At 54.9% G+C, this 16,647-nt stretch overlaps 2 protein-coding genes across 3 annotated transcripts in view, besides 6 other annotated features; both read left to right on the forward strand.

Annotated features, from left to right (window-relative positions):
- MYO9B (myosin IXB) overlaps positions 1-4,596 on the forward strand; it is a 137,510-nt gene extending 132,914 nt beyond the window's left edge. The window contains exons 36-40 of one of the 2 annotated variants that reach the window (NM_001130065.2): positions 896-1,019; positions 1,643-1,690; positions 2,025-2,158; positions 2,957-3,096; positions 3,205-4,596. In NM_001130065.2, coding sequence (NP_001123537.1) covers positions 896-1,019; positions 1,643-1,690; positions 2,025-2,158; positions 2,957-3,095 — 445 coding nt within the window. In that variant the 3' untranslated portion in view covers position 3,096; positions 3,205-4,596. The remainder of the gene's footprint in view (positions 1-895; positions 1,020-1,642; positions 1,691-2,024; positions 2,159-2,956; positions 3,097-3,204) is intronic. The other variant, NM_004145.4, reaches the window with a different exon arrangement.
- Positions 1,139-1,248: a silencer, noted in NCBI's record as "silent region_10321". NCBI's record gives its function as "represses an Ori minimal core promoter by ATAC-STARR-seq in GM12878 lymphoblastoid cells {active_cell/tissue: GM12878}" and the evidence as "EXISTENCE:reporter gene assay evidence [ECO:0000049][PMID:35858748]".
- Positions 1,618-2,123: an enhancer, noted in NCBI's record as "H3K4me1 hESC enhancer chr19:17321117-17321622 (GRCh37/hg19 assembly coordinates)". NCBI's record gives its function as "activates a minimal SCP1, AML or CMV promoter by ChIP-STARR-seq in primed H9 embryonic stem cells {active_cell/tissue: H9 hESC(primed)}" and the evidence as "EXISTENCE:reporter gene assay evidence [ECO:0000049][PMID:30033119]".
- Positions 6,307-6,887: an enhancer, noted in NCBI's record as "H3K27ac hESC enhancer chr19:17325806-17326386 (GRCh37/hg19 assembly coordinates)". NCBI's record gives its function as "activates a minimal SCP1, AML or CMV promoter by ChIP-STARR-seq in primed H9 embryonic stem cells {active_cell/tissue: H9 hESC(primed)}" and the evidence as "EXISTENCE:reporter gene assay evidence [ECO:0000049][PMID:30033119]".
- Positions 6,307-6,970: a biological region, named in NCBI's record as "H3K27ac hESC enhancer GRCh37_chr19:17325806-17326386".
- Positions 6,651-6,970: an enhancer, noted in NCBI's record as "active region_14260". NCBI's record gives its function as "activates an Ori minimal core promoter by ATAC-STARR-seq in GM12878 lymphoblastoid cells {active_cell/tissue: GM12878}" and the evidence as "EXISTENCE:reporter gene assay evidence [ECO:0000049][PMID:35858748]".
- Positions 6,667-11,139, forward strand: USE1 (unconventional SNARE in the ER 1). Its single transcript, NM_018467.4, has 8 exons — positions 6,667-6,817; positions 7,112-7,161; positions 7,302-7,380; positions 7,479-7,631; positions 8,763-8,772; positions 9,674-9,701; positions 10,523-10,697; positions 10,941-11,139. The coding sequence occupies exons 1-8, from the start codon at positions 6,716-6,718 to the stop codon at positions 11,121-11,123; spliced, it is 780 nt and encodes a 259-aa protein (NP_060937.2). The 5' UTR covers positions 6,667-6,715; the 3' UTR covers positions 11,124-11,139.
- Positions 6,991-7,060: a silencer, noted in NCBI's record as "silent region_10322". NCBI's record gives its function as "represses an Ori minimal core promoter by ATAC-STARR-seq in GM12878 lymphoblastoid cells {active_cell/tissue: GM12878}" and the evidence as "EXISTENCE:reporter gene assay evidence [ECO:0000049][PMID:35858748]".
- Positions 11,140-16,647: the final 5,508 nt, after the last annotated feature.

Here is a 16,647-nt window from a genome sequence, read left to right on the forward strand (position 1 = left end):
CCAGCCTAAAACAGAACTTTTAACAAAGGCTGGATGATAGGTGAATGGTAGTGGATTCCTCTCTCTGCTACAAAGCGTCCTGTCACGGGAGGATAAGGAACAAGCAGCAGCCCCTGCAGGTCGCACCACAGAGCTCACCCAACCTGAGTCCCTCTGGTACTGACCACTCCAGACTGAGTCCCTCTGGTACTGACCACTCCGGACTGAGTCCCTCTGGTACTGGCCACTCCGGGCTGAGTCCCTCTGGTACTGACCACTCAGGGCTGAGTCCCTCTGGCACTGAACACTCCGGGCTGAGTCCCTCTGGTACTGACCACTCCAAGCTGAGTCCCTCTGGTTCTGACCACTCCAAGCTGAGTCCCTCTGGTTCTGACCACTCCAAGCTGGGTCCCTCTGATACTGACCACTCCAGGCTGAGTTCCTCCCAATAATGACCACTCCAAGCTGAGTCCCTCTGACACTGACCACTCCGAGCTGAGACCCTCTGATACTGACAACACCAGGCTGGCCTTGACCACCAAGTGGGCATACTGTGGGTCAGCCCATGTCTGGAGCCCCTGGGGCCATCTGCCTATTGCCCCTGGGACAAACTGCCCAGCAGCTTGTACTTCTCTGCGAGGCAGGATAATTCCCACCCTACTGGTGACTAAGGGGTTCAGTTCACTCTGACCCTCCTTCAAACAAGGAGGCGTGCAGAGACAGGAGACAGGCTCAAAGAGGTAGAGTGAGCTGCCGAAGGTCACACTGCATGGGAGCTGGCACAGCCGTGTCCCAGGCACTGCTTGGTCTCTGAGCCTCAACCACTGCCCCCCAGGCACCAGCTAGCATCTCCCTGGACCTCAGACGTCCCCGGGGCGGTAACTGAGTCACTTCCTCCCGTGGGCCTTCTCTGTAGGTGCGTGGAGATGCTGATCAAGGAGCAGATGAGGAAATACAAAGTGAAGATGGAGGAGATCAGCCAACTGGAGGCTGCAGAGAGTATCGCCTTCCGCAGGCTTTCGCTCCTGCGACAAAATGCTGTGAGTACCGGTGATCGTGGGGGCGGGACCTCTTTGGTGGGGCGGAGCCTGGTGCTGGGCAGGGCCTTGGGCGTGGCTTTGTTGCTGGGAAGGCTGGTGAGTGGGGTCTTGGTGGGCGGGGCCTTGGGTGGGCAGGACCTCCCATGCCGAGGATGGGACCGGGTAGTGGGTGTGGTCTCGGGTAGCAGGGCGGGGCCTCCCTTCCCAGTTCCCCGCCCACTCCTACCACACCCTTGGCCACAACCAGCCTGGCTGGGGCCACCAGGCCCTGCAGGTAGGGGCAGACTTACTGCCTTGAACGAAAGACGATGGTCCTCGCTCAGCCTCACTCCAATTATGTTCCTCTAGGTGGGGCAGGTAGGGGGACCAGCTTCCTGCTTGCTGGTGGTTCAGGTCATGCGTCCAGCCTTGTCCCTTCTGACCTGGGCCCTACCCACGGGGAAATGTTCCCATAGCAGAAGAATCAGCCCCACAGTGCAGGGGTGTGTTAGTGGGGAACGGGCTCTGGGCTCCTGTGGGAACCAGGGACCCCCTATCTTGGTACCGGTCATTGGATGTATCCCCAGCTCATGCCTGTGTCTGTCTTGGCCCGTGTGGTCACCCTGTGTTCATCTCTCTCCCAGCCATGGCCTCTCAAACTGGGGTTTTCGTCTCCCTATGAGGGGGTCCTGGTATGTACGCGTTCGGTGGGCCCGCGGTGCATGTCTCCCGGTGCAGTGCATGCTGGGGTTCCCTGGGGCCCTGGGCCCCTCGTAGGATAGACAGAGCCTGTCCTAACCTTCCGGAAGTGCATGCTGGGGAGGCCCCTTGCCTGCTGACCTTCTGTGCTCAGGACGACTAATCGGCCACATGACCACCACTCTGTCCCATGGGATTCCTAGAGAAGTCTCACTAAGAGCCCAGCACACTCACATCACAACTAACCTCCTGGGATCTGCTCACACCTCCGGCAGTAACCTCGCCCACTCAGAGATGTCAGTGGGACCCCTTGCTTCTTTGTTTCAGAACAAGAGCCCCAAGACCCGGGACATCCAGGAGGAGGAGCTGGAGGTGCTGCTGGAGGAGGAGGCAGCCGGCGGCGATGAGGACCGGGAAAAGGAGATTCTCATTGAACGGATCCAGTCCATCAAGGAGGAGAAGCAAGTGGCTCAGTCCCCTCCCTCAGTCCTTCATGTTTAGGGCAAGCTGGAGTGCAGGTTCCATCCCTGGTGGTCCGCTTGACCTCGCCAGGTTTGGTCCTGTCATCCCTAACACTGGGCAAACAACACTTTTTTTTTTTTTTTTTTTTTTTTTGAGACGGCGTCTCGCTCTGTCGCCCAGCTGGAGTGCAGTGGTGCTATCTCGGCTCACTGCAACCTCCATCTCCCGGGTTCAAGCGATTCTCTGCCTCAGCCTCCGAGTAGCTGGGATTACAGGTGCCCACCACCATGCCCTGCTAATTTTGTGTTTTTAATAGAGACAGGGTTTCACCACATTGGCCAGGCTGGTCTTGAACTCCTGACCTCAAGTGATCCACCCACCTTGGCCTCCCAAAGTGTTGGGATTACAGGCGTGAGCCACCGCACTCGGCCTTTATTTCTGAGACAGGGTCTTTCTCTGTCACCCAGGCTGGATTGCAGTGGTGCGATCACGGTTCACTGCAGCCACAATCCCCTAGGCTCACGGGGTCCTCCCACCTCAGCCTCCCCAGTAGCCGGAACCACAGGTGGTGCACACCACCACGCCTGGCTAATTTTTTTTACTTTTTGCAGAACAGGGTCCGCCTATGTTGCCCAGGCTGGGTTCAAACTCCTGGGCTCAAGCAATCCTCCTGCTTGGGGTGGGGGGAGGTTGGGGACACAGAGTTACATCTAGGAGCAGGACAGCCTGCTCTGTTCCACACTGGCCCAGCACTTCCGGTGGGGTGGCCTTGGACACCACTACCCTTTTTCCTCCAGGGAGGACATCACCTACCGGCTGCCGGAGCTGGACCCAAGGGGCTCGGACGAGGAGAACCTGGACTCGGAGACGTCGGCCAGCACCGAGAGCCTGCTGGAGGAGCGGGCCGGGCGGGGGGCCTCGGAAGGTCAGTATTAAGGTAGCGTCTGCTTTTCTCCTTCCCGTCCATCCCAGCAGGCCCCAGGGCGAGGGTCCTCCGGCTGCCGGCCCTGAAGCTGCAGTAACCCTGCCATCTGTCTCTCAAAAGGGCCCCCTGCGCCTGCTCTCCCTTGCCCCGGCGCGCCCACCCCGAGCCCCCTCCCCACCGTGGCCGCCCCTCCACGACGAAGGCCGTCGTCCTTCGTAACGGTCAGAGTGAAGACCCCCCGGCGGACCCCCATCATGCCCACGGCCAACATCAAGCTCCCACCAGGCCTGCCCTCCCACCTGCCTCGCTGGGCACCGGGTGCCCGGGAGGCGGCTGCCCCAGTGCGGCGCCGGGAGCCACCTGCCCGCCGCCCGGACCAGATACATTCCGTGTACATCACGCCCGGGGCAGACCTGCCAGTGCAGGGCGCCCTGGAGCCCCTAGAAGAGGATGGCCAGCCACCTGGGGCCAAGCGGAGGTACTCGGATCCCCCAACGTACTGCCTGCCCCCCGCCTCGGGCCAGACCAATGGCTGAGAGCCACAGCTGACAAAGTCTGCATGTCCGAGGACGGCCCCTGCACTGGAGCTGGGCGCCAGAGCTGCAGAGCTAGTGTTCGGCCCTCAGAGAAGGATCCAGAATCAAAAGCTCAAGAGTGACGTGAGGTGGGCACCGGCCCCAAGTGCAGAGTCAAGGCAGGGAGAGGCCGGCTGGAGCCAGGCCCCCTCGCACGCAGCCCCCAAATCATGGACGCACCTGTGGGGAGCACCACATCTCCACCTGCGGCCTCACATCTCCCCACTCCCCTTTTTGTACGTTTAACTGTTTCTTTGTACGTGGTTTACGTAACTTTAAACTGTAACAGCCTTAATGGAAGACCAAATGGTTTTTTATATGTGTATGTACAAAGTTTTCTATTAACGCTGCCCGTCTCCCTTATAACCTGGACGTGAGCTGTCAGAGCAGAAGCCACTAGGCCACTGCGCGTCTGAGGCTCAGACCCTGCTGTGGTTGGCTTGGGGTGGCCAATGGGCTGGGACCCTCCATGAGAGTTTTGGACACTTGGGTCACCTGACCCGTGCCTCTCTGACACATGTCTCCGGGGGGCAGCCACCTGGCCAATGTGCATTTTTGCACATGCTGGAACCTTCCATGGGGGTCTGGGCTATTGGCTGGAGCCAGGACATGAGTCAGGGGCACCATGGACCTCACGTGCCAGGGAGACTTGAATGTGGCTGTCACTCTTCCGGACGCCAAGGGCTGCAGGAGGCTGCTTTTGGCACTACCCACCCCGTGTGACAGAATAGGAGCCAGCGACTCAGGACTGCTCACGGGTCAGGAGGGCAACGCCTGAAGTCAGACCTCCCTATAGGTCAACAGGGACAACCTGGGGATCTCTGGAGCAGGGCCCTCCTCTCTCAGGCTTGGCCCACTCCCCCAGACACCTGGACACGTGGCCACAAATCTGGGACAAGGGGCCCCCGCACAGCATGAAATAAAAAGTGCCTGAGAAGTGTGTGCATGGGACGCCTGCTCATATGGGATCGGGCTTGGAAGAACAGGGCCGGTGGGTGGGGGTCTGCCCTGTGGCCTCAGCCAAGAAGGGTGCAGAATATGGGTGGAACACTGTCCTCAAAGTTCTGTCTTGATCCTCCACCAAACAGGGAGCTCCCAGCAGAGCCTCACTTGGCCAGGAGCGCCTGCTGTCCTGGCAGCCCTCTCTGGCCTCCCTGATTCAGTGCCCAGCCTCTGGAGCCTAAATGTCAGCTGCAGCAGCCACCCATCCAGCAGAGGTGGCCAGTTCCTGGTGGGCCCAGCAGGACAGGAACAGATGGGCTCCCAGGCTGCCATCGGATGGGAGTCGTGGGAACTGGCTGGCTGGTATTGGTTGGGGCACCGTGAAGAACCCAAGTTCAGACAGCACATGCCAGAGGTTGAGGGGCTTCTCCAAGGCCACACAGTTGGGAGGGGCATGGCTGGGATTTAGACTCTGCCCTGCCAGCCTCTAGAGGCCCCTTTGATGGGCCCTGGGTTTGGTCTCCATTGTTTGTTGTGGGTTTTTTTCTTGAAACACGGTCTCGCTCTGTCACCCAGGCTGGAGTGCAGTGGCGCGATCTCGGCCCACTGCAGCCTCCACCTCTCGGGTTCAAGCGATTCTCCTGCCTCAGCCTCCCGAGTAGCTGGGATTACAGGCACGCACAACCAAGCCCAGCTAATTTTTGTGTTTTTTGATAGAGACAGGGTTTCACCATGTTGGCCAGGCTGCTCTCCAAACTCCTGACCTCCAGTGATCCATCCACCTCACCCTCCCAAAGTGCTGGGATTACAGGCGTGAGCCACCGCACCTGGCCCTCCATGGTATTTTCTTTTTTTTTTTTTTTTTTTGAGACGGAGTCTTGCTTTGTTGCCCAAGCTGGAGTGCAGTGGCACAATCTCGGCTCACTGCAACATCCACCTCCTGGGTTCAAGCGATTCTCCTGCCTCAGTCTCCCAAGTAGCTGGGATTACAGGCACCCACCATCACGCCCGGCTAATTTTTGTATTTTTAGTAGAGACGGGGTTTCACCATGTTGGCCAGGCTGGTCTCAAACTCCTGACCTCAGGTGATCCATCTGCCTCAGCCTCCCTAAGTGCTGGGATTACAGGTGTGAGCCACCGCACCTACCCGTCTATGATATTTTTCAAGGACATCAGGCCCACTGGTGTAACCAAGGTGCAGATGACCTAAGGTGTGGGAAAACATGAAGGCTGCATGCCAGGCCCTGGTTCCTGTGAAGCCCCCACCCTCATCCTGTCACTCCAGAAGAGAGGCACTGCAAGGCATAGGGGTACTCAGCTTCCAGGTACTGAGGTGGGCTGGGAAGGGGTTCTCCATGGGGGTCTGGGCGTTAGGGGGGACCCAGCCCCACCTTGCTCACTCTCAGGCAGAGCTGTCTCATGTGCCCCTTGAGGCAGGTACTGTCACACTGTCCATTTCCCGGGGGAAGAAGCGGATCCAGAAAAGTTAAACTCTCCCAGGGCCGAGGATGGAATCAGAGCTGGAGCTGTGACCTGGAAACCCATAACCACAATACAGATGAGCCCTGCTGAGGTGGGGGAAGCCTTGGATTCCTGAATCCCAGGCTACAGAAATCGGGAAGGGTGTGTGGACGTGAAATAGCTCCGACTGGGAAGAATCCAGGTAGGAGTGGGGTGCGGGGAGGTACTTTGAGCAGGCAAAACAGAACAAAAGGGCACACTGCACGCGGGTCTGACACCAGAAGACCCCGGTCGTCCTATCATTCCCGAAGGGTTAACATGCTCTCGAGGAAAAGCAAGTGATTCGCCTAAGTAAGAATGGGGTGGCGCCTCTCCTATTTTTTTAAAATAGAGATAGAGTAGCGCTATCTTGCCCGGGCTGGCCTCAAGCAATCCTTTCCCACCTCTGCCTCCTAAAATGCTGGCATTACAGCCCTGAGCCACCGCGCCCGGCCCAGCGCCCCGTCTCAAAACAAGATATTACTTCCGCTCCAAACAAAGATGGGCCAGCTAACGAGCGCGGGGGAAACATCCGCCCGGAAGGCCACTTGAAGGCACTTCCGCCCTCTCTTAACATGGAGCCGGCGGAAGGGGTGGTGTAGGGCCGGGCGATAATGGCGGCGTCGAGGCTGGAGCTAAACCTGGTGCGGCTGCTATCCCGCTGCGAGGCGATGGCAGCGGAGAAACGGGACCCGGACGAGTGGCGCCTGGAGAAGGTGAGGGGATCTCGCACTGCCGCGTAGAGCCCGACTCCCGGGGGGTGATTCCTAGGGTTGGAAGCCACCTGGCCCGACTCCCCGGCCCCAGTAGCCTCTCGGGCAGCGCCCTTTCCGGTCAGTCCCGCCACGTCCACCTGTAGCTTCCGCCCCCGTCCCTGGGACTCCGCCCCTCCCCCACTGGCCCCGCCTCCTTTACGCTTGACCCCTCCCATTTGTCGGCCCCGCCCCCCCGACTCCCATGATCAGGACATGGGAAAGACCCCCGGGTGACAATCCACTTTTCCTCCCCAGTACGTGGGAGCCCTAGAGGACATGTTGCAGGCCCTGAAGGTCCACGCGAGGTGAGTGCAGGCAGCCTCAGGGCTTTCACATCAGCACGTGGCTGTGCTACTGGACATCCCAGTACCGCTATCCCAGCTGGGACCCTTCCCTGAGCTGGGGACCATGGACAGGTTTTGTTTTTCTTCTTCCTGCCTTCCAGCAAACCGGCCTCTGAGGTGATCAATGAATATTCCTGGAAGGTGGATTTTCTGAAGGGGATGCTGCAAGCCGAGAAGCTGGTGAGAAGGGGTGCCCCTGCCCCCTCAGCCCCCATCACCGCTCACTTTGGTCCCCAGGACCTGCCCCTCCAGTGACTTATCTTCCCACATTTCTGCAGACCTCCTCCTCAGAGAAAGCACTGGCCAACCAGTTCCTGGCCCCTGGCCGTGTGCCAACCACAGCCAGAGAGCGAGTGCCCGCCACAAAGACGGTGCATCTGCAGTCACGGGCGCGGTACACCAGCGAGATGCGGAGTGAGCTACTAGGCACGGTAGGGCTCCTTCCCTGGTCCCTGGGAATCCCTTGGACAGGAATAGGGGTTCTATGCTTGTAGGCAGCCAGAACCACAATACTGTCAGATACAGGAACCCTAAGGGGGTCCAGCAATCTCTTCCCTGGGTCATCACACAAGGCTGCCCAACAGAGGGGCATTGTGGCTAAGGCTTTGCTAGATGAATAGGAATTTGGTACAAGGCAAAAATGGAATGTGTCTGGTTAAGCCCCAGAGTTGGCCCAAGAGCAGGGTTTGAGTCCTGGCTTGCAACTTACAAGACACATAAGTTTCTTCAGCCGTAAAAGAGGATGACAAGTTCCTTTCTGAGCACTTTATGTGGATCAGCTCAATCTTTTAAAATATGAGTTGTTGTGGCCAGGTGCGGCAGCTCACGCCTGTAATCCCAGCACTTTGGGAGGCCGAGGCGGGCGGATCATTTGAGGTCAGGAGTTAAGACCAGCCTGACCAACATGGAGAAACCCCGTCTTTAGTAAAAATACAAAATTAGCTGGGCATGGTGGCTCACGCCTGTAATCCCAGCTACTCGGGAGGCTGAGGCAGGAGAATCGCTTGAACCCAGGAGGCAGAGGTTGCGGTGAGCTGAGATCAAGCCATTGCACTCCAGCCTGGGCAATAAGAGTGAAACTCCGTCTCAAAAAAAAAAAATATGAGTTGTCGTTACCAGTTTAAGGTTGAGGAAACAGGCTCAGAGGTCATGGGATTTCCCCATGTCCTGACTGAAGGTGAGGAGGTTGAGGTCAGAAGGGACAGGTTTGGGAACAAGACAAGGGGGGTGACTTCATGGCATTTACTTTTTTTTTTTTTTTTGCGATGGAGATTCGCTCTTGTTGCCCAGGCTAGAGTGTGGTGGCGCGATCTCGGCTCACTGCAACCTCCGCCTCCCAGGTTCAAGCAATACTCCTGCCTCAGCCTCCCAAGTCACTAGGATCACAGGCACCCCCACCACACCTGGCTAACTTTTTGTATTTTTAGTAGAGATGGAATTTCATTATGTTGGCCAGGCTGGTCTCGAACTTCTGACCTCAGGTGATCTGCCCACCTTGGCCTCCCAAAGTGCTGGGAGTGAGCCACTGCACCCAGCCTCATGCCACTTACTTCTTTCCACAGGACTCTGCAGGTGAGTCACCATGAACACAACAGGACTTGAGGGCCAGCTGACTAGGACAAGACATGTATCCTTGCTGCCCCGGGGCCTCCATGCCGAGACTCCATGCCCTGACTCCAACAGGAGCATCACCAAACTACACCTGGAGGAAGAGCCAGGACAGAGGAAATGGCCCCGAGAGGAAACAAAGCTAGGCACAGTGGCTCACACCTGTAATTTCGGAGGCTGAGGCAGGTGGATCACCTGAGGTCAGGAGTTTGAGACCAACCTGGCCAACATGACAAAACCATGTCTCTACTAAAAATACAAAACTTAGCCGGATGCAGTGCCACGTGTCTGTAGTCCCAGCTACTCGGGAGGCTGAGGCAGGAGAATTGCTTGAACCCAGGAGGTGGAGGTTGCAATGAGCTGAGATCACACCACTGCACTCCAGCCGGGGCGACAGAGCAAGACTCCGTCTCAAAAAAAAAAAAAGCAAAAAAATTAGCCAGGCGTGGTGACGCACACCTGTAGTCCCAGCATACTTGGGAGGCTGAGGCAGGAGGATTGCTTGAGCCTGGGAGGTAGAGGTTGCAGTGAGCTGAGATTGCGCCAGTGCACTCCAGCCTAGTTGACAGAGAGAGACTCTGTCTCAAAAATAAGCAAATAAATAAATTTTTTAAAGCTAGGCACTCCCAGCCTATGGGACCAAGGCTAGGCTGGAGGGAGGGACCTGGGGTCTGAGGGAACCGAGACAGGAGTAAGGAGACCCTCCTAGAAGAGGGGGTATTCAAGCATGGTCAGAAGCCAACGGGGCAGCAGACAAGATGAGGAAACAGCATTCCAAGCAGTAGACCCAGCACAGGCAATGCTCAGGATGCCGGAAACGGGAAACCAACACTCGCCTTTTTTGCTTGGCCTGTTTTGCTTTCAGAGCCTGAGATGGACGTAAGGAAGAGAACGTGAGTGTCTGCGGCCCTGGGGCAGTAGTGGCAATTGGGCGGTGCGGCAGGGACGGGGTAGCAGTGGCCAAACCCTGGACCACCGAGGCACTACCACAAGGATCTAAACCAACCAGAAGCCACTTCTGTGGATGCTCTTCCCAGAAGTCAAAGGCCAGGCGCAGTGGCTCACGCCTGTAATCCCAATACTTTGGGAGGCTGAGGCAGGCAGATCACCTGAGGCCAGGAGTTCAAGACCAGTCTGGCCAACATGGCAAAACCCTGTCTCTACTAAAAATACAAAAAATTAGCCGGGCATGGTGGCATGCGCCTGTAGTCCCAGCTACTCAGGAGGCTGAGGCAGGAGAACTGCTTGAACCTGGGAGGTGGAGGTTACAGTGAGCCGAGATCACGCCATTGCACTCCAGCCTGGGTGACAGAGCGAGATGCTGTCTCAAAAAAAAAAAAAAAAAAAAGGTCGGGCGCGGTGGCTCACGCCTGTAATCCCAGCACTTTGGGAGGCCGAGGCAGGTGGATCACGAGGTCAGGGGTTCGAGACCACCCTGACCAACATGGTGAAACCCTGTCTCTACTAAAAATACAAAAATTAGCTGTGCATGGTGGCAGGTGCCTGTAATCCCAGCTACTCAGGAGACTGAGGCAGGAGAATTGCTTGAACCTGGGAGGCAGAGGTTGCAGTGAGCCGAGATCATGCCACTGCACTCCAGCCTGGGCAACAGAACGAGACTCTGTATCAAAAAAAAAAAAAAAGAAAATGTGTTGGTCTTCTCCCCTTTCCCACTCCATCTCTCATGTCCTCCTCCCCCCGTGTGTGAAATCAGTGGAGTGGCAGGGTCCCAGCCAGTGAGTGAGAAGCAGTTGGCAGCTGAGCTAGACCTCGTCCTGCAGCGACATCAGAACCTCCAGGAAAAGCTGGCGGAAGAGATGCTAGGACTGGCCCGGAGCCTCAAGACCAATACCCTGGCCGCCCAGAGTGTCATCAAGAAGGACAACCAGGTGTGGGGACTGGGGGAGCTCTCCAGCCTCTGCCCTGGGGCATCAGAGAAGGCTTCCCAGCACAGGAGCATTGTGGCTGGGGCTTTGCGGGATGAATAGGAGTTTCGTAGAAGGCAAAAATGGCATTCCCAGCAGAGGGCACAGCACCAGCAAGCGACAAGAGGTGCAGGCCAGTCCCAGGGAAGTAGAGAGAGGCCATTCTTGGCCCCAGTCCTGTTGACACCTTTTCCACCTCCCCCACAGACCCTGTCACACTCACTGAAAATGGCGGACCAGAACCTGGAGAAACTGAAGACGGAGTCAGAGCGTCTGGAGCAGCACACGCAGAAGTCAGTCAACTGGCTGCTCTGGGCCATGCTCATTATCGTCTGCTTCATCTTCATTAGCATGATCCTCTTCATTCGAATCATGCCTAAACTCAAATAAAGACCCCCGCCCACCTTGTCTGTCTTCCGTCTGTCCCCTGCCCCCATCTAGCAGTGCCTTTCAGGCTGGCCAATGAGATGGGAGGGTTTTTGGAGGTCCCTGAAGAGCCACAGACAGACAGTGCATGAGCAGGGGAAGAACCACCTCAGGGCCAGATGCGGGGGCTCACGCCTGGAATCCCAGCACTTTGGGAGTCCAAGGCAGGTGGATCACTTGAGGCCAGGAGTTCAAGACCAGCCTGGCCAACATGGTGAAACCCCGTCTCTACCAAAAAATACAAAAATCAGGCAGGCATGGTGGCGCACGCCTGTAGTCCCAGCTACTTGGGAGGCTTAGGCACGAGAATCACTTGAACCCAGGAGGTGGAGGTTGCAGTGAGCTGAGATCCCAGTACTGCACTCCAACCTGAGCAACAGAGCGAGACTCCATTGCAAAAAAAAAAAAAAAAAGATTCTAAAAAGAAAAAGTCAGTCTTGGCAGGTGGTGACTCATCAAACGCTGCCTCCGCCCATGTTCCTCTGGAGCCTACCCCACAATGGACGAGGCCCAGCCCCAGGAGGCCCTAGGAGCCTCCGACTGGCAGACTTGTAGCCGAACACAGTGCCTTCAGCGATGTAAGGCCAGGGTGAGGCCAAAGGGCAGAACAGGGGCTTGGAGGGTCGGGGAGGAGTGGGGCCATGACAGGAGCTCAGCCTGGAGGAGGGCGCATCAACACGAGGTCTTCCCTGGAATTAAAGGCAATAGTTCAAGGACACAGCTCAGCCACACTGCAGCCTCAGCTCTCGGGACACTACAGATCCCTCACAGTCACTCGACAAACACACATGGGTCGTGCCCAGTGCTCACTGGAGACTCTGCCCTCCCCAGGTCACAGTCTGATCACTTCAAAGGAGAACTGGGTGAGTACTAGGGTAGGGGTCCTGAAAAGGGTCGTGGAGTAGGAATTCTGGGGTCCTGAGCCCTGCTCTCACACCAGCTCCAGACAGGGCACAGCCTGTGAGAGCAACTGAGGGGGCTCAGTGACGAGGGCTTGGGGTGTCTGCCCCATGGCAGCATTGACGGCATTGTGGGGACACTTGGAGGTGCCCAGTGGACCCCCACTGACGTGGGTGTAAAATCCTTAGGTAGGGTTGTGTGGTTTTTTTTGTTTTGTTTTGTTTTTGAGACAGGGTCTCGCTCTGTGGCCCAGGCTACGGTGCAGTAGTGCAATCATAGCTCACTGCAGCCTCGACCTCCAGGCCTCAAGCAATCCTCCTGCCTTGGCCTCACAAAGTGCTGGGATTACAGGCATGAGCCACTGTGCTCAGCCCAAGTAGAGATTTTTAAAAGTGCTACTGGCAGCTTTTAAAAAGTAGAACATAGAGCCAGGCGTGGTGGCTCATGCCTGTAATCCCAGCACTTTGGGAGGCTGAGGCGGGCGGATCACCTGAGGTCAGGAGTTCGAGACCAGCCTGGCCAACATGGTGAAAACCCATGTCTACTAAAAGTACAAAAAATTAGCTGGGCATGGTGGTGGGCACCTGTAATACCAGCTACTTGGGAGGCTGAGGCAGGAGAATTGCTTGAACCCAGGAGGCGGAGGTTGCAGTGAGCCGAGATCACGCCACTGCACTACAGCCTGGGCGACAAGAGCGAGACTCCATCTCAAAAAAAAAAAAAAAAAAAAAAAAAAGATCATAAGAAGGAGACAGCCAGGCATGGTGACTCACGCCTGTAATCCTAGCTACTGGGGAGTCTGAGGCAGGAGGACCCCTTGAGCCCAGGGACTGGAGGCTACGGTGAGCAGTGATCATGCTACTGCACTCCAGCCTGGGTGACAGAGTAAGACCCCTACTCAAAAAAAAAAAAAAAAAAAAAAGGAAGTTTATGCCTGAGACACAGGGATGATTCCTTATTAGAAAGCCACGTTGGCCAGGGCACCGTGGCTCACACCTTGTAATGCCAGCACTGTGGGAGGCTGAGGTGGGAGGACCACTTGAGCTCAGGAGTTTAAGGCCAGTCTGGGCAACATGGTAAAACCCTGTCTCTACAAAAAATACTACCAGCTACTTGGGAGGCTGAGACAGGAGAATGGCTTGAGCCCAGGAGTTCGAGGATGCAGTGAGCTGTGATCACACCACTACACTCCTGCCTGGGTGACAGAGCCAGACCCTGTCTCAAACAACAACAAAAGCCAGCTACATTAATGCCTCAGAAAACAAAATCACAGATGCTGAAATGACAAATTGTACTGTTTAGCCTCCGTTACCCAAAGTCTCCTAATTTAAAAAGAAAGGAAATAGATGGACATGTTCCTCACTTCACTGAAAAATCTCAAGCCAAAGGGAGCATTGACTTTAATGGGCAAATACTCAAAACTTCTGCCATCAAAATGAGGAATAGGCCAGGTGCGGTGGCTAAAGCCACCTGTAACCCCAGCACTTTGGGAGGCCAAGATAGGCAGATCACTTGAGCTCAGGAGTTCGACACCGGCCTGACCAATATGGTGAAACCTGGTCTCTACAAAAATACAAAAATTAGCCAGGCATGGTGGCACGCACCTGTAATCCCAGCTACTCAGAAGGCTGAGGCAGGAGAATCACTTGAACTCAGGAGGCAGAAGTTGCAGTGAGCCAAGATCGCACCACTACACTCCACCCTGGGTAACAGAATGAGACTCCATCTGAAAAAACAAAAACAAAAAAACGGGGGGAATGGAATGGGGAAGGATGCTTACAGTCGCCCTGCCTCCATAATGTAACATAGTCTTGAGGTGGTAGTCAGCACAACTAGACGAAAAAAAGAGGCTGGGTGCGGTGGCTCACGCCTGTAATCCCAGCACTTTGGGAGGCCGAGGCGGGTGGATCTAGAGGTCAGGAGGTCGAGACCATCCTGGCTAACACGGTGAAACCCCGTCTCTACTAAAAATACAAAAAAAAAATTAGCCGGGCATGGTAGCGGGCACCTGTAGTCCCAGCTACTCGGGAGGCTGAGGCAGGAGAACGGCGTGAACCCAGGAGGCAGAGCTTGCAGTGAGCCAAGATAGCGCCACTGCAGTCCAGCCTGGGCAAAAGAGCGAGACTTCGTCTCAAAAAAAAAAAAAAAGAAAAAAAAAGAAAAAAAGAAATGGGGCCAAATATGGTGGTGCACGCCTGTGGTCCCAGATACTTCAAAGGCTGAGGCAGGAGGATTGCTTGAGGCCAGAAGATAGAGACTAGCCTGGGCAACAATAGCAAGACCCTGTCAATAGAATAAATAAAATGCCAGGCATGGTGGCTCATGTCTTTAGTCTCAACTACTTGGGAGGCTGAAGCAGGAGGACTGCTTGAGCCTAGGAGTTTAAGACCTGACTGGGCAACATAGCGAGACCCCATCTCTACCAATAAAAATTTAAAAATTATCCAGGTGTAGGCCACCTGGTTGGCTCACCAGGCCACACTGGCCAAGATGGTAGAACCCTGTCTCTACTAAAAATACAAAAATTAGCCAGGCATGGTGGCGGGCACCTGTAATCCCAGCTACTCAAGAGGCTGAGCCAGGAGAATTGCTTGGCCCAGGAGGCGGAGGTAGCAGTGAACCGAGATCACACCACTGCACTCCAGCCTGGGAGACAGAGCAAGACTCCGTCTAAAAAAAAAAAATTATCCAGGTGTGGTGGTGCGTGCCTATAGTACCAATTATTCAGGAGGCTGAGGCAAATGATCACTTGAGCCCAGGAGCCCAAGTGATCATGCTGCACTGAGCTATGATCGTGCCACTGCACTCCAGACTGTGCAACACGGTGAGACCCCATCTCTAAAACAAACAACAAGAAAAAAAGAAATGAGATTGAAAAATAAGAGAAGAAAAATAAGAAATGAGAAGGCAAAATTATTTGCAGATGATATGACCGTATATATGATAGGCCCAAGCGATGTGACTAAAAATATTTCAATAAAAGAATTCCTTAAGCTAGCAAGAGACTTATAGATATTTAAAAATTCATTTCTTGTATACTATATATGTATATAGCTTTAAAATGTATTAAAGCATCCCATTTATAGCAGCAATAAAAAAAGATACACTGCCTGCTTAAACGAATTTTGTTGACATTTGAAGAACTTTTTTTGGAGTCGCCCAGGCTGGAGTGGTACAGCAGCACAATCGTGGCTCACTGCAACCTCCGCCTCCCGGTTTCAAGTGATCTCCTGCCTCAGCCTCCTGAGTAGCTGGGATTACAGGTGTGTGCTACCATGCCTGGCTAATTTTTGTATTTTTAGTAGAGACGGGGTTTCACCATGCTGGCCAGGCTGGTCTTGAACTCCTGACCTCAAGTGGTCCACCCACCTCGGCCTCCCAGAGTGCTGGGATTACAGGCATAAGCCACCTTGCCCGGCTGACATTTGAAGAACTTCTAAAAATCAACAAGAAAAAACATTTGCAGGATATAACAGGAAAAGAATTACGAAATAGAGAAATAGTCTCTAAATTTTTTCACTCATACACTAGGCAATATTTCCTTTTTTTTGAGACAGTCTCTCAACTGTCATCCAGGCTGGAGTGCACTGGCGCAATCTTGGCTCACTGCAACCTCTGCCTCCCGGGTTCAAGCGATTCTCCTGCCTCAGCCTCCCAAGTAGCTGGGATTACAGGCGCCCGCCGTCACACCTGGCTAATTTTTTATATTTTTAGTAGAGACGGGGTTTCACTATGTTGGCCAGGCTGGTCTCGAACTCCTGACCTTGTGATCCGCCCGCCTCGGCCTCTCAAAGTGTTAGGATTACAGGCGTGAGCCACCGCGCCTAGCCTTAGTAGGCAATATTTTCAACTTTGAAAGTACAGGTGAGGGGCCAGCGCTGTGGCTCACGCCTGTAATCCCAGCACGCTGGGAGGCCGAGGCAGGCGGATCACGAGGTCAGGAGATCGAGACCATCCTGGCTAACACGGTGAAACCTCGTCTCTACTAAAAAATAGAAAAAATTAGCCGGGCGTGGTGGTGGGCGCCTGTAGTCCCAGCTACTCAGGAGGCTGAGGCAGGAGAATGGTTTGAACCCTGGAGGCGGAGCTTGCAGTGAGCCGAGATCGCGCCACTGTACTCCAGCCTAGGAGACAGAGCGAGACTCCGTCTCAAAAAAAAAAAAAAAAGAAAAGAAAGTACAGGTGAGGGAATCCGTTATCATGCCAGTGCCGCCAAGGTTGTGGGAAAACCCCTGTATCTCTTGGAGCATAAATGGTACAATCTCACTAAGGAGTAACTTGGCAGTATGTTCCAAATGTAAAATACACACATCCCAGACAGGAGGCTGAGGCAGGAGGATCGCTTGAGTCCAGGAGTTGGAAAACAGCCTGGACCCATAAGGACATTTCCTCTCAAAAAAAAAAAAAAAAAAAAAAAAAAAAAATGCCAAGCACGATTATGGGATCACACCTGTAATCCCAGCACTGTGGGAGGCTGAGGCGGGTGGATTGCTGGAACTCGGGAGTTCAAGACCAGCCTGAGCAACGCGGCGAGATCCCGTCTCTACAAAAAACACAAAAATTAGGGAGGCGTTGTGTCACCTGTGGT

This window comes from Homo sapiens, chromosome 19 (assembly GCF_000001405.40).
Source record: "Homo sapiens chromosome 19, GRCh38.p14 Primary Assembly".
Classification (NCBI taxonomy): domain Eukaryota; kingdom Metazoa; phylum Chordata; class Mammalia; order Primates; family Hominidae; genus Homo; species Homo sapiens.

Coding starts and splice junctions, on each gene's coding strand:
- USE1 (NM_018467.4), top strand. CDS start 6,716: ATGGCGGCGTCGAGGCTGGAGCTAAACCTGGTGCGGCTGCTATCCCGC. Junction 7,162..7,301: donor GCCCTGAAGGTCCACGCGAG/GTGAGTGCAGGC, acceptor CCTGCCTTCCAG/CAAACCGGCCTCTGAGGTGA. Junction 9,702..10,522: donor ATGGACGTAAGGAAGAGAAC/GTGAGTGTCTGC, acceptor GTGTGAAATCAG/TGGAGTGGCAGGGTCCCAGC.